Here is a 12975-nt window from a genome sequence, read left to right as displayed (position 1 = left end):
GAAACTGCACTTCCCAGAGCAGGTGATTCTTGTGTTTGTTTGTTTGTTGTTTTTGAGACATTCTGTGTTGCCCAGGCTGGAGTAAAGTGGCGTGATCTTGGCGCATTGTAACCTCCGCCTCCCGGATTCAAGTGATTCTCCTGCCTCAGCCTCCCGAGTAGCTGGGATTACAGGTGTACACCACCGCACTCAGCTAATTTTTGTATTTTTAGAAGAGATGAGATTTCACCATATTGGCCAGGCTGGTTTCGAACTCACGACCTCAAGTGATCCACCCACCTTGGCATCCCAAAGTGCTGGGATTACAGGCGTGAGCCACCGCGCCTGGCGAGATGGGGTTTTACCATATTGCCCAGGCTGGTCTGGAACTCCTGAGCTCAGGCAAATACACCCACGTCGGCCTCCCAAAGTACTAGGATTACAGACGCGAGCCATGCCCAGCTATTAATTCATCTTATTGATGTCGAAACTAAAGCCTGGAAAGGTCAAAGAGCTTGATGAAGGTCAAATAGGTAGTAAGGGGTGGCTGGACCCAGACCAGGGCTCCTAAGTTCGTCGCTTTCCTCACCGCGCTGGGCTCTCTGAGCGTCCTAATAGCCACGCCCACCTCAAATGGCGATCCCAGAGAGCATCTGGCTTCAATTTTCCTTTTTCCGGAGGGGAGATGGATTCCCTGGAATGGAACTGGGCTCTGGTAGGGGAGAACTTCCTGTTGGGCAAATCCTGACAACTGTCTTGGTGTGGGAGTGCATAGGGAACTCCGACCCTCGCAGAACCCTGGGATCTTCGTGGGTGGAGGGGAAGAGGATAGAGGAGGGGAGGGAGGAGACGCTGAGACAGAGGCTTTCATCTTGAGCCTGGTGGGGAGGCATGTGGGAGAAGTTGCTGAGCGGTTGGATCGGAGGGAGGAAGAGAAGGGCCAGAGCACTGGCTTCCTGTTCCATCTTCCCCCTTGTTCTGCAGGTGGCCATTTTCTCCTTCCAGAGCCGGAGGTGGAGAGACTTGGGGGCCTGCCCAGCTCCAGTCCTCTGTCCTCACTCTGCCCGTCTCCGCCCGTCCCCCAGCCAACCTTTGGAGAAGGTGCTGGGCTGCTAGGATTTGGGATTCTGGTGGAGGGGGAGGGGGAGGGGATGTGCCCATTTGTTCGGGTCTGACCCTGGAACAAAGGCTTTTGCCACGGAGAGTCTAGGTCTTAATGCCCCCCATTAGCCAGAGTTGGGGGGCCACCAACACATTAACAACTAAAAACAGTCTTCACTAGAATCCTTTTGCTGAGCCCCCTCGCCTCCCCCTGCCTGGTCGCAGGCTAATTCCGGCCTGGGCTGCTGTGGACGGACTATCCTGGCCGCTGAGCCTCCCATTGTGTTCCTAATGCTCAGTAACAAAGGCTGCTCGCCGGTAGCAACGGTCGCTAGGCGGGTCTTATCTCCTGGGCTCCGGCCCCTTCCCCCACGGCAGAGTCTGAGGCCCAGACTGGGTCCCCTGAGTCTTTAGCATGGGGCTCTTCCAAGACCCCGGAGGGTTATCCACAGGGGATGGCCCTGCTGGCACTTATGGAGGGGAGAGCTTATGGGAGACACGTCGGTGGCAGAGAACCTGTGACAGTCGTTCCCAGACGTTTTCTAAGACGTTGTCGTTCATACAGTAAGCATTTCTAGTGCTCCCTGTACCCGCGCTCCCCAGCCCCCATGCTTTTGCCTGGATTCTTAGCAGACCTTTCATTCAAAATTCCATTTGGCTCCTTGCTGAATGAAGCGAACCCTGTGTCATGTTGCTGGTGTCGCTTTACGAGAACACGCACCCTCTTAACTGCTCCCTTTTTGACAGGACTCATCCGACTATGCTGTCATTGTGCTATTTACTTGTCTGTCGATTGGAACAGTGGCAGATCTTCAGCCCAGCTGTATATCGCACCCTAGCACCACCTGGGAGATTACAAACACCAAGCTTCTACCCCACAGATTCTGATTTGGTTGCTCTGGGGTGGGACACAGGCATTTTTCCTCTCCTTGAGTGATGCCAATGTGCCGCCAGGGCTGAGATGTCACTCTAGTGACTGTCACCTTTCTACAGGAGGGGGCAGGGGCCTCCTGATGACAGGAGACAACTCAGGGCAAGCAAAATTCTGAAATGTGGTCGGCCTCCAGCCCCACTAATTATGCAGGGGTACTGAGTTTCTCAATTTTTTTGTTTTTTTTTTTTTTGAGACGGAGTTTCGTTCTTGTTGCCCAGACTGGAGTGCAATGGTGCAATCTTGGCTCACCGCAACCTCCGCCTCCCGGGTTCAAGCGATTCTCCTGCCTCAGCCTCCCGAGTAGCTGGGAATACAGGCATGTGCCACCACACCCGGCTAATTTTCTATTTTTAGTAGAGACGGGGTTTCTCCATGTTGGTCAGGCTGGTCTCGAATTCGTGACCTCAGGTGATCCGCCCGCCTTGGCCTCCCAAAGTGCTAGGATTATAGGCGTGAGCCACCGTGCTCAGCCTTCTCAAACTTTTAAAGCCTCAAAATCCTTATCTGTAAAATGAGACCTACCTCATAGTGTAGTTTTGAGGGTTAAATGAGATTATGGCATAAAGCCCCCTGCATATGCCTGGCATGTAGTAGAAGCTCAACACTTCTTAAGTGAATGATACTCTGGTAGTGAAAGCTGAGTGAAACTGCCAGTACTGGCCAGGTGCAGTGGCTCATGCCTGTAGTCCCAGCACTTTGGGAGATGGTGGCAGGTGAATCCCTTGAGCTCAGGAGTTCGAGACCAGCCTAGGCAACATGGCAAAACCCTTGTCTCTACAAAACAGGACAAAACAAAATAATTAGCCAGGTATGGTGGTATGCACCTGTGGTCCCAGTTACTCAAGAGGCTGAGGTGGGAGGATCACCTGAGCCTGGAAATTCAAGGCTGTTCAAGATCATGCCACTGCACTGCAGCCTGGGCCGCAGAGTGAGACCCTGTCTCAGACAAAAAAAAAAAAGAAAAAAAAGAAAGAAAGAAAAAAAGAAATTGCGAGTCCTTGTTTCTGTTCTGATACAAACCAGTTGTATGACCTTTACAGCACTCTGCTCCCAAATTTCCCCATGAACCAATCTGTCGTCCAGGCTGGAGTGCAGTGGTGCGATCTTGGCTCACTGCAACCTCTGCCTCCTGGGTTCAAGTGATTCTCCTGCCTCAGCCTCCCGAGTAGTTGGGATTACAGGTGCCCATCACCATGCCCGGCTAATTTTTGTATTTTTAGTAGAGACGGGGTTTCGCCATGTTGGCCAGGCTGCTCTTGAACTCCTGACCTCAGGTGATTCGCCTGCCTCGGCCTCCTAAAGTGCTGGGATTACAGGCATAAGCCACCATGCCAGGCCTCAGAGATCTTCTTTTAAGCAGAGTTGTCATTTGTTAATATTTTTTAAAGGTTATTTCTTTGGTCTCCCTTCTATTCTGCTGGCATGACTCCACCTACCACTCCGCCAACAACTGTCTATTTGCCCTTGCTGCCTGGGCCTTAGTACTTTTAAAACTCCTGTGGACAGCACTCTCCTTGAATTAATATTTATTTATGGAGCTCCTGCTCTGGTGCCATAGGAGAGGAGGTGGGGAGAGTAAAACTGCAAGGACTCTACCCTGGAGGAGCCTCCAATCTAGCTGGGGGGTGTGGGCAGGAGACTCAGTAATGACAGGGTGGTCAAGGTCAGGACAGAACCCTATTCTTCCCTGCTGTGAACCAGCTGGATGAGTCCAAGACAACTGCAGGTAACAATTGTGGGTTGGGTTAACACAGTGGTTCTCCAACTTTCTGGTCCCAGAACCTCTTTATATTCTTAAAAATTTTTGTTAATTTCAAACGCCTTTTATTTATGTGGATTATATCTATTGATATATCCTGTATTAGATGTTAAAATTAAGAAATTTTCCTTTTTTTTTTTTTTTTTGGGATGGAGTTTCACTTTTGTTGCCTAGGCTGGAGTACAATGGCACACAATCTTGGCTCACTGCAACCTCCGCTTCCTGGGTTCAAGTGATTCTCCTGCATCAGCCTCCCGAGTAGCTGGGATTACAGCAAATTTTTGTATTTTTAGTAGAGAAGGGGTTTCACCATGTTGGCCAGGCTGGTCAACTGACATCAGGTGATCCACTCGCCTTGGCCCCCCAAAGTGCTGGGATTACAGGTGTGAGCTATTGCACCCAGCCAAAATTAAGAAATTTTCTTGCCGGGCGCAGTGGCTCATGCCTGTAATCCCAGCGCTTTGGGAGGCTGAGGCGAGCAGATCATGAGGTCAGGAGTTCAAGACCAGCCTGACCAGCATGGCGAAACCCCGTCTCTACCAGAAATACAAAAAAATAGCCAGGCGTGGTGGCATGTGCCTGTAATCCCAGCTACTCGGGAGTCGTGCTTGAACCCAGGAGGTGGAGGTTAAAGTGAGCCGAGATCGCACCACTGCACTCCAGCCTGGGTGACAGAGCGAGACTCCGTCTCAAAAAAAAAAAAAAAAAGGAAAGAAATTATTCTAAATACAAACACATAATCCATGATTGGCATTATCGGTCAGAATGATATGACACATGATGCAGCTTCAGGAAAATTCTACTGTACATCCATGAGAGAATAAGAGTGAAACAGACAGTGAACCAAGATTGCACCACCACACTCCAGCCTGGACGACACGGCAAGACTGTTGCAAAATAAAAGTTTAAAAAAATTTTTTTGTTTTGTTTTGTTTTTTTTTGAGACGGAGTCTTGCTCTGTCGCCCAGGCTGGAGTGCAGTGGCGCGATCTCAGCTCACTGCAACCTCCAACTCCCGGGTTCAAGCGATTCTCCTGCCTCAGCCTCCCCAGTAGCTGGGATTACAGGCGCCCACCACCACGCCCGGCTAATTGTTGTATTTTTAGTAGAGATGAGGTTTCACCATGTTGGCCAGGATAGTCTCCAACTCCTGACCTCAGGTGATTTGCCCGAGGTGATCTGCCTCCGCCTCCCAAAGTGCTGGGATTACAGGCATGAGCCATCACACCCGGCCTAAGAATTTGCTATGTGCACAGATAGATGCAGGCCTTCCTTGAAAAGACGTGAAGCACCAAAGAAGTTAGAGTGAGGGCTTATATTCCATTTTAACAACTGGTAATAAATTGTGAAGAAGTGACAAGATGAAGGAAAAGGGGTTTGGGCTTCTAGGGACAGTAAATTGTGGGCAGGCAAACATATGGGGGAAACTAATGGAAGATAAGGGCAATTTTATAAGGCTGGTTTGTGCAGACCCATCTTGGTAACAACTTTCTGTTTCCGGTGGTAAGGGTGATTCTCCTGGTACGGGAGAGGGGAGGGCGACACCTTCACAAAGGGAAATTTAGGCAGATGAGGTGGGCAAAGAGCTCTTTCTTCATTTGCTGCTTCTTAATTGCCTTCAGCTAAAAATATTTCTTCTGCTAAAGTGGCCTATTGGGTGACATATTCTGACCCTCTTCAGTAAATAATAATAATAATAGACAATACTAGATCCTGAATGAACAGTACCTAAGGTTCTTCCTTCTGGCACGCTCTGGCAGCCTTAAAGTTCAGTAGCCCCTGAGCATGGCTGTGCCAGGTCAGGCAGTCAGGGAAACTGCCCGAGCAGAGTGAGTGGCCTGGCCAGGTGCAGGTTGTGGGGGGCTGTGTGACGTGCCAGGCTTCATGGGGGCAGCAGAGGAAACAGAAGAGCAAAGACCAGTGGAGAGCCTCACTGCCTGCTCCCCCACTGCGCCTGCCCAGGCAGCGGGGCAGCACCCTGGAGATGAGAGAGCAGCAGTACTGTTCTGCAGGCCTGGGGGAATGCGGGGATCTGAGGGACTGCCCAGAGACAAAGGACACACAATGGCCGCAGCCTGGAGGGGTGTGGGAGGCCCCTAGGCTGGGGAGACAGGAGTGAGGCAAGGGGCTGGTGGGAAATGAGCAGAGGAGGTGGACTCCCAAGGGCCCATTTCCTGAGATGCCACAGAGGCAAGAGCCGACTCCCGGGAGGAGGAAGGGCATTTCTCCCTTAGTGAGGGGACAGCTCCTGGCTCCCACTGCAGCTCTCAACCTCGGCTCCTTGAACCCCCGCCCCCAGGCAGCTCTTGACTCTGTGTGGAGCCACCATTCCCTTGGTCAGGACTAGCAACCTTCTCTGACCCATCCAGTCACAACAAACTGCTTCTTCTTTTGAGAGGTCATGTGCTTCTCTTTAGCACTTATTCTATTGTTTCTTTTTTTTTTTTTTTTCATTCCTTTTTACAGACAGGAACTCACTCATTGCCCAGGCTGGTCTTGACCTCCTGGGCTCAAGTGATCCTCCTGCCTCGGCCTCCCAAAGTGCTGGGATTACAGGCGTGAGCTCTTTTTAGTGGGTCAGGTCTATCTCTCTGACCCTATTGTCACTCCTGAGGGCAGCTATCTTGTCTATTAGCATTTTTTCATCCCTTCCAATGCCCAGCCCTGTTCCTTTTATATCATAAGGGCTTAACTGATGCCATGGAAGTAATCGACATCTCCATATTATTGCTCCCTGTCTCCTTCACCCCACAGTCTCTGCAGAAATTCCCACATCTTTTTTTTTTTTTTTTAGTTTTTTTTTAAGGTGGAGTCTCGCTCTGTCACCCAGGCTGGAGTGCAATGGCGCGATCTTGGCTCACAGCAACCTCTGCCTCCTGGGTTCAAGCGATTATCCTGCCTCAGCCTCCCGAGTGGCTGGGACTACTACAGGCACGCACCACCACACCCGGCTAATTTTTGTATTTTTAGTAGAGACGAGGTTTCACCATATTGGCCAGGCTGGTCTCGAACTCATGACCTCGTGATCCACCCACCTCGACCGCCCAAAGTGCTGGGATTACAGGCGTGAGCCACCGCGCTGTCCTTTTTTTTTTTTTTTTTTTTTTTTTTTGCAGTTTTTACGGTTTTATTTAAACACAAAAAGGGGACATGAGCTGTCTACTCATTTTCTTTGCTGCGCAGCCTGGCATTGGGGTTGGTGACTCTGATGACCAGCTGGGCAGCTCTTTCCACGATGGCTTCGTGGTTCTTAGAGGAAACGTTGTGAGCGATGTCAGCACAGGGAGATTGTTGCACATCAGCAGCACTTCCAGCTCCTTGATGTTGTGGACCAGGAACTTCTGGAAGCCACTGGGCAGCGTGTTCTTTGTTTTTTTTTGTTGCTCCCATAACCACTGTTGGGCATCGAGATCTGGCCCTTGAACCTTCTATGAACCCCGTTGTGAATACCTCTGGGTTTCCGCCAGTTACGGTTAATTTTGACGTATTGGTCAGACCGGTGCCAGATGAACTTTTTGGTTCTCTTTTTGACAATCAGGCTTCACAAGGGGTCTGAGGGTGGCCATGATGCCAAAGAGGAGATGGCTGCCACTTCTGTAGGCAGCGCCGAGGAAGAGAGAGGGCCCCCCCTTTTTTTTTTTCGAGACAGAGTCTTGCTTTGTCGCCCAGGCTGGAGTGCAGTGGTATGATCTTGGCTCACTGCAACCTCTGCCTCCCGGGTTCAAGCGATTCTCCTGCCTCAGCCTCCCCAGTAGCTGAGATTAACAGGCATGTGCCACCATGCCCAGCTAATCTTGTATTTTTGGTAGAGATGGGGGTTTCACCATGTTGGCCAGGCTGGTCTTGAACTCCTGACCTCAAGTGATCCCCCTGCCTCGGCCTCCCAAAGTGCTATGATTACAGGTGTGAGCCACCTTTCCCCATTACACACCTCCCTTCCCTTAGCTTCCTTGTCACCTGCCCACTCCCAACTCTCCCCACTCTGCTCTCACTGTGTCCCCCTTGCTGTCCCTGGTGGCAGTGGCCGCCTTGCAGCTGCTGCACCTGGAGTTAGGGAAGCAGTGGGGAGGTGAGCAGGTAGTGGGGAATGACGTCATTCTCAGATCACTCTTTCTAGCTTTCATCCTCTCCCCCCGTGACCTGCTCTTCAACCATTATGCAGATGCTTAATGGGCACCTACCCTCGCGTGTGCCATGTGCTGTTTTAAGTGCAGTGACCCAGCAATGAAGGAGACAGGTGGGCATCAGCATCAGGGTTATCCCAGAGCCAGCTAGGAATTCCCCATGCAGCAGCAGAGACAATGCCCAAGGCCGTAGAGGACCTGAACAAGGGAAGCACAAGTCCAGCCTGGCTGGACTTTTGGGAACAAGGCCACTTGGCCTAATCCAAACACAAATAAAACTGTTTTGTGGGTCCCCTGACCCCATCTACTTTTCCCAGAGCTCGTTGATGGCTGGGAAGGAGTTGACTGGGAAGGAGGTGGCTGGGCAAGGGTGGCTGGGCAGGGGTGGCTGGGCAAGGGTGGCTGGGAAGGGGTGGCTGGGAAGGGGGTGGTTGGGCAGGGGTGGCTGGCCAGGGGTGGCTGGGCAGGGGTGGCTGGGAAGGGGGTGGCGTCTCTCACTGCTCACCTGACGGCTCCTGGTTGTGCTTTCTTCCCAGGTGTATGAGCTCAGTGGAGAGCACCATGACGAAGAGTGGTCAGTGAAGACTTACCAGGAAGTAGCTCAGAAGTTTGTGGAAACTCACCCTGAGTTTATTGGAATCAAAATCATTTATTCGGATCACAGGTGAGAGAGAATATTGCTGAAAAGCTCGGGTTGGGAGGCTGGGATGCAGGCAGAGCTACTAGGCTGGGAGGGGAGGGGTGAGAAGCGGGGCTGGGAGGCCGGGAGAGGCCCAGCACTGGTGCCAAGGAGCTGTGCTGTGCCTGTGTGAGAGCACAGTCCTAGGTAAGTGCGGTGACCCAACAATGAATTGCTGCCTGAAGCCACTTCTAGTTCAGGTCTTCACCCCCAAACTGAAATGAAGAATGTGTGAATTTCCCAGATAATTCTCGGCTGTGACCCCACATTGGCCTGGTGACTCATTTATGAGCATAATGGTTTTGCCTGAATGTTTGGATAATTGGCCCGTTTTTGGTTTCAATTTGCCTCTGGGTTCTGTGTGTGGTTGTGTGTGAGTCCTTGATCACGGAGACACCCTGAGTGGCACTGGCTCAAGTCTGCGTGTGGGGACCTCCAGTAGTACCATGTGCGTGGCCTGGCACGTGGGTGAAAGACCCACTCTTTTTCCCAGGGAAGCACAGAAAGCTTTGCAGCTTAATTGTCCTTCTGACTTTACCAGACAAGACCCCTCCCCTCACTTTAAAGAGCAGCCAGTCTAAGGCTGGGACCTGTCCATGGTCGCAGCTGCAAGGGCAGCAGCCAGTGGGGTCCCTCGGAGTCAGGCACGGGGCGGGCACCGAAGGGATCCGGCAGCGGCTCCCTCTGCTCAGCTCACCCACGAGCCTGGGCTCTGGAGGGCACTGACTCCCCAGGAGCCTCCTCCCATGCCCAGTCTTCCTGAGTCCCCTTCCCTTCCATGGGGCCTGGGGCCTGGAGGAGCTAAGCTCTGGCTTTGTGCCGGTCCCCCTAGGAGGGAGCTTGCAGGATGGGCCCACGTTCTGCTCAGAGGCTCCCTGGTGCCAGGTGCCCCTTCCCAGGGCCAGTGGCAGGAGGGTGTGAGGGCTGAGCTGAGTGCATCAGTGCCCCCAGGTTTGCCTAGGCTCTGGGGAGAGGCCATGGGTGGGGCAGGCCAGGAAGGCTTTATCCCCACAGAGCCGAGGATTGGAGCAGGAGAGCCAGTGGCAGGGCAAAGACCTTGAGCCTGTCGTGGGCTTGCGCCAGACCCTGTGTTTTGGGGCTTTTGTTGTCATGCTGCCTGCCTTGCCCCTGTAGGGTTCTGCAGTACCCAGGATCTTGCTGACTTAATCAGCAAGAGGCCATATGGTTACTGGGTCCAGCCGACCCATCAGGGACTTGGGTGACCTGTGGCCCTTTGCAGGTGTGCAGTGGACAGAGAGCTGCCCCTGAGCTGCATCCATGTCTACACCCCCGACAGAGATGCAGGGAGAGCTGGGAACAAGGCCACCTGGCCTCCTCTAAACGCAGACAAATAAAACTGTTCCCGTGGGTCCTCTGACCCCATCTACTTTTCAGAGACTACAGGTGCCCCCAGAGCCAGCAAGGGTCTTTGATAAGAATGGATTTGGGCTACATATCTCTCAGGGATCACAATGGCCTGGTCAGGGTGGGGTCAGGAGGGCAGGGGTGCCTCAGGTTTGGGAAACGGGACCTGCACACTTGGGGCTGGCCCAGCCCTGCACGGAGGGTGTGCTCTGGGGTTTGTGCTCTGTCGGTGCTGGGCACTGTCTCCTGGCTTCTCTGTCTGTCTCACAGATCCAAAGATGTGGCTGTCATCGCAGAATCCATCCGAATGGCCATGGGGCTCCGAATCAAGTTCCCCACGGTGGTGGCAGGGTTTGACCTGGTAACCCATGCTGTGAACAGAAGGGCTGCCTGTTAAGGGGGCATGCGAGGATGCCTGTCTGGGTGGAGCGGCAACTCCCTGGGAAGGGAGCGCAATGTGCCTGTTGGTACCCTGACATCCCAGGGCAGGCTCAGGCTGCTGACACAGCAGGGCTGCTCAGAGCTCAGCGCTGACCCTCTTCAGAGGCCTACAGGGGACGGCTGTCACTGGAGAAGGGAGAGCAGACAGCCAGTTCTAACAAGCTAACAAGGAAAGTTCCAGAATAAGGATGGCATTCAGGGAGTTTGGACCACAGTTATGGGCTCATTCCCCATGGCCCTGCCTGTGCCCTTTTTTCTATCCCACACTGCTCACCTAGGTGTGGGTCTTAAAACCCTCACCAGCCCCTGTAGCACGCGGGGTGGGGACTGGGGGGTAATGTCTGGAAACAGAGTCCAGGATGGAGCCAGGCCTTTGCAAATCCTCAAGGTAGTGATATTTGTCCCTCCCTCTCCAGCCATCATGCCTGGCCACACCAGTTTTTGAAGCTACACATTCATAGGTGTTGTCATTGTCCCACACCTCCCCACCAAATCGAAGCACAACCAGGACATTTCTTAGGTGACAGCTCGGCAATCTCATAAAGAATCTAGGCCGGGTGCAGTGGCTCATGCCCTCAGCACTTTGGGAGGGCGAGACAGGTGGATCACCTGAGGTCTGAAGTTCAAGACCAGCCTGGCCAACATGGAGAAACCGCATCTCTACTAAAAACACAAAAATTAGCCAGCCTTGGTGGCCTGCACCTGTAATCCCAGCTACTTGGGAGGCTGAGGCAGAATCACTTGAACTCAGGAGGCAGAGGTTGCAGTGAGCTGAGATTGCACCATTGCACTCCAGCCTGGGCGACAGAGCAAGACTCCATCTCAAAAAAAAAAAAAAAAAAGAATCTAGATTAGTCCAGGGCAGTGGCTCACTCCTGTAATCCCAGCACCTTGGGGGGCCAAGGTGGGAGGGTCACCTGAGTCCAGGAGTTCTAGACCAGCCTGAGCAAATCGGTGAGACCCCGTCTTTACAAAATATATATATATATATATTTTTTGCTCTTGGCCAGGCTGTAGTGCATTGGTGTGATCTCAGCTCACTGCAAGTTCTGCCTCCTGGGTTCATGCCATTCTCCTGCCTCAGCCTCCCAAGTAGCTGGGACTACAGGCACCCGCTACCACACCTGGATAATTTTTTGTATTTTTAGTAGAGATGGGGTTTCACTGTGTTAGCCAGGATGGTCTCGATCTCCTGACTTCGTGATCTGCCTGCCTCGGCCTCCCAAAGTGCTGGGATTACAGGTGTGAGCCACCACGCCTGGCCTGCTCCTGGTCATTCTTAAAAGGCTGTGTGACAAAGGTCCCGGCAGTGGTGGCAGGGTACAAGGAAGGGTGTGCACAGGCTCCAGGGCGCGCCATCAGCAAGTGAGGCATGCGCCCTGCAGACACCTCCCTGTCCCTCTCTGTCCTGCAGGTGGGGCATGAGGACACTGGCCACTCCTTGCATGACTACAAGGAAGCTCTGATGATCCCCGCCAAGGATGGCGTTAAGCTGCCTTACTTCTTCCACGCCGGAGAAACAGGTGAGCCTGCGGGATGCGAGCAGAGGCAGCGGAGGTGGTCAATGGGAGAGCTCCTGGCCACAGGCCCATGCCTCAGGGTTAGAGCCTACAGGCGTTTCCAGAGCCCTTTCCTGTGCTCTATCTCACTTAATCCTGACAACAGCCCCATGGAGAAGGAATAACAAGGATAATAGAATCAGCCACTTTACATGTATTATTTCTAGTTTCTCTTTCTTCTTTCCTTCCTGTTTTCTTTTCTTCTTCTTCTTTTTTTTTCTTTTTTTTACGGAGTCTCCCTCTGTCGCCCAGCTCACTGCAACCTCGGCTTCCCAGGTTCAAGAGAGTCTCCTGCCTCAGCCTTCCAAGTAGCTGGTACTACAGGCACCTGCCACCACGCCTGGCTAATTTTTTGTATTTTTAGTAGAGACGGGGTTTCACCGTGTTAGCCAGGATGGTCTTGATCTCCTGACCTCATGATCTGCCCTCCTCGGCCTCCCAAAGTGCTGGAATTACAAGGGTGAGCCACTGCGCCTGGCCTTTTCTAATTGATTTCTGATTGTTTCCCCAGTTTTTAATCTCCATTTGATAGATGAAGAGCCCAAGGCTCCAAACACAGTGGTCCAGGGTTAAAGAGCTGGTGCGCAGTGGAGTCTGAATTTGAATCCTTCTTCTTCTTCTTTTTTTTTTTTTTTTTAATTTTTCGTGGTAGGGGCATAATCCTGCAAACTCACATCATCCTACTTTGGCTATAAAAATTCGTTTTAGGCTGGGCACAGGCACAGTGGCTCATGCCTGTAATCCTAGCACTTTGGAGGCTGATGTGGGTGGATCTCTTTAAACCCAGGAGTTTGAGGCCAGCCAGGGCAACATGGCAAAACTTTGTCTCTACAAAAAAATACAAAAATTAGCCAGGCATGATGGTACACACCTGTGGTCCCACCTACTTAGAGGCTGAGGTGGGAGGATTGCCTGAGCCCAGGCTCACTGAACTCCAGCCTGGGTGACAGAGCTAGACCCTGTCTCAAAAAAAAAAGTGTTTTAGCCAGGTACAGTGGCTCACATCTGTAATTCTAGCACTTAGGGAGGCAGAGG

The 12975-nt window shown here is 52.3% G+C and overlaps 1 protein-coding gene, 1 long non-coding RNA gene and 1 pseudogene across 10 annotated transcripts in view, besides 7 other annotated features; 2 read left to right on the top strand and 1 right to left on the bottom strand.

Annotated features, from left to right (window-relative positions):
* ADA2 (adenosine deaminase 2) overlaps window positions 1–12975 on the top strand; it is a 43059-nt gene that overhangs the window by 21606 nt on the left and 8478 nt on the right. For 7 of the 9 annotated variants that reach the window (NM_001282227.2, XM_011546133.3, NM_001282229.2 and 4 more), the window contains 3 exons: window positions 8433–8560; window positions 10211–10301; window positions 11796–11904. In NM_001282227.2, coding sequence (NP_001269156.1) covers window positions 8433–8560; window positions 10211–10301; window positions 11796–11904 — 328 coding nt within the window. Of the gene's footprint in view, window positions 1–587; window positions 695–8432; window positions 8565–10210; window positions 10302–11795; window positions 11905–12975 lie in introns of those variants that run through there. The other 2 variants (NM_177405.3, XM_047441406.1) reach the window with 2 other exon arrangements.
* Window positions 343–848: an enhancer, noted in NCBI's record as "H3K27ac-H3K4me1 hESC enhancer chr22:17680285-17680790 (GRCh37/hg19 assembly coordinates)". NCBI's record gives its function as "activates a minimal SCP1, AML or CMV promoter by ChIP-STARR-seq in naive H9 embryonic stem cells {active_cell/tissue: H9 hESC(naive)}" and the evidence as "EXISTENCE:reporter gene assay evidence [ECO:0000049][PMID:30033119]".
* Window positions 849–1352: an enhancer, noted in NCBI's record as "OCT4-NANOG-H3K27ac hESC enhancer chr22:17679781-17680284 (GRCh37/hg19 assembly coordinates)". NCBI's record gives its function as "activates a minimal SCP1, AML or CMV promoter by ChIP-STARR-seq in naive H9 embryonic stem cells {active_cell/tissue: H9 hESC(naive)}" and the evidence as "EXISTENCE:reporter gene assay evidence [ECO:0000049][PMID:30033119]".
* Window positions 1353–1857: an enhancer, noted in NCBI's record as "OCT4-NANOG-H3K27ac-H3K4me1 hESC enhancer chr22:17679276-17679780 (GRCh37/hg19 assembly coordinates)". NCBI's record gives its function as "activates a minimal SCP1, AML or CMV promoter by ChIP-STARR-seq in naive H9 embryonic stem cells {active_cell/tissue: H9 hESC(naive)}" and the evidence as "EXISTENCE:reporter gene assay evidence [ECO:0000049][PMID:30033119]".
* LOC107985573 (uncharacterized) lies at window positions 1454–2182 on the top strand. Its single transcript, XR_001755419.2, has 2 exons — window positions 1454–1644; window positions 1828–2182. It is a non-coding gene; the product is annotated as an uncharacterized LOC107985573 (long non-coding RNA).
* Window positions 4408–4923: an enhancer, noted in NCBI's record as "H3K4me1 hESC enhancer chr22:17676210-17676725 (GRCh37/hg19 assembly coordinates)". NCBI's record gives its function as "activates a minimal SCP1, AML or CMV promoter by ChIP-STARR-seq in naive H9 embryonic stem cells {active_cell/tissue: H9 hESC(naive)}" and the evidence as "EXISTENCE:reporter gene assay evidence [ECO:0000049][PMID:30033119]".
* Window positions 6885–7395, bottom strand: RPL32P5 (ribosomal protein L32 pseudogene 5; annotated as a pseudogene).
* Window positions 9908–10408: an enhancer, noted in NCBI's record as "H3K4me1 hESC enhancer chr22:17670725-17671225 (GRCh37/hg19 assembly coordinates)". NCBI's record gives its function as "activates a minimal SCP1, AML or CMV promoter by ChIP-STARR-seq in naive H9 embryonic stem cells {active_cell/tissue: H9 hESC(naive)}" and the evidence as "EXISTENCE:reporter gene assay evidence [ECO:0000049][PMID:30033119]".
* Window positions 11297–11796: an enhancer, noted in NCBI's record as "H3K4me1 hESC enhancer chr22:17669337-17669836 (GRCh37/hg19 assembly coordinates)". NCBI's record gives its function as "activates a minimal SCP1, AML or CMV promoter by ChIP-STARR-seq in primed H9 embryonic stem cells {active_cell/tissue: H9 hESC(primed)}" and the evidence as "EXISTENCE:reporter gene assay evidence [ECO:0000049][PMID:30033119]".
* Window positions 11797–12298: an enhancer, noted in NCBI's record as "H3K4me1 hESC enhancer chr22:17668835-17669336 (GRCh37/hg19 assembly coordinates)". NCBI's record gives its function as "activates a minimal SCP1, AML or CMV promoter by ChIP-STARR-seq in primed H9 embryonic stem cells {active_cell/tissue: H9 hESC(primed)}" and the evidence as "EXISTENCE:reporter gene assay evidence [ECO:0000049][PMID:30033119]".

The sequence above is a fragment of the Homo sapiens genome, chromosome 22 (assembly GCF_000001405.40).
Source record: "Homo sapiens chromosome 22, GRCh38.p14 Primary Assembly".
Classification (NCBI taxonomy): domain Eukaryota; kingdom Metazoa; phylum Chordata; class Mammalia; order Primates; family Hominidae; genus Homo; species Homo sapiens.
The sequence above is the reverse complement of the archived record's forward strand: the minus strand, read 5'-3'. Positions and strand labels throughout refer to the sequence as shown.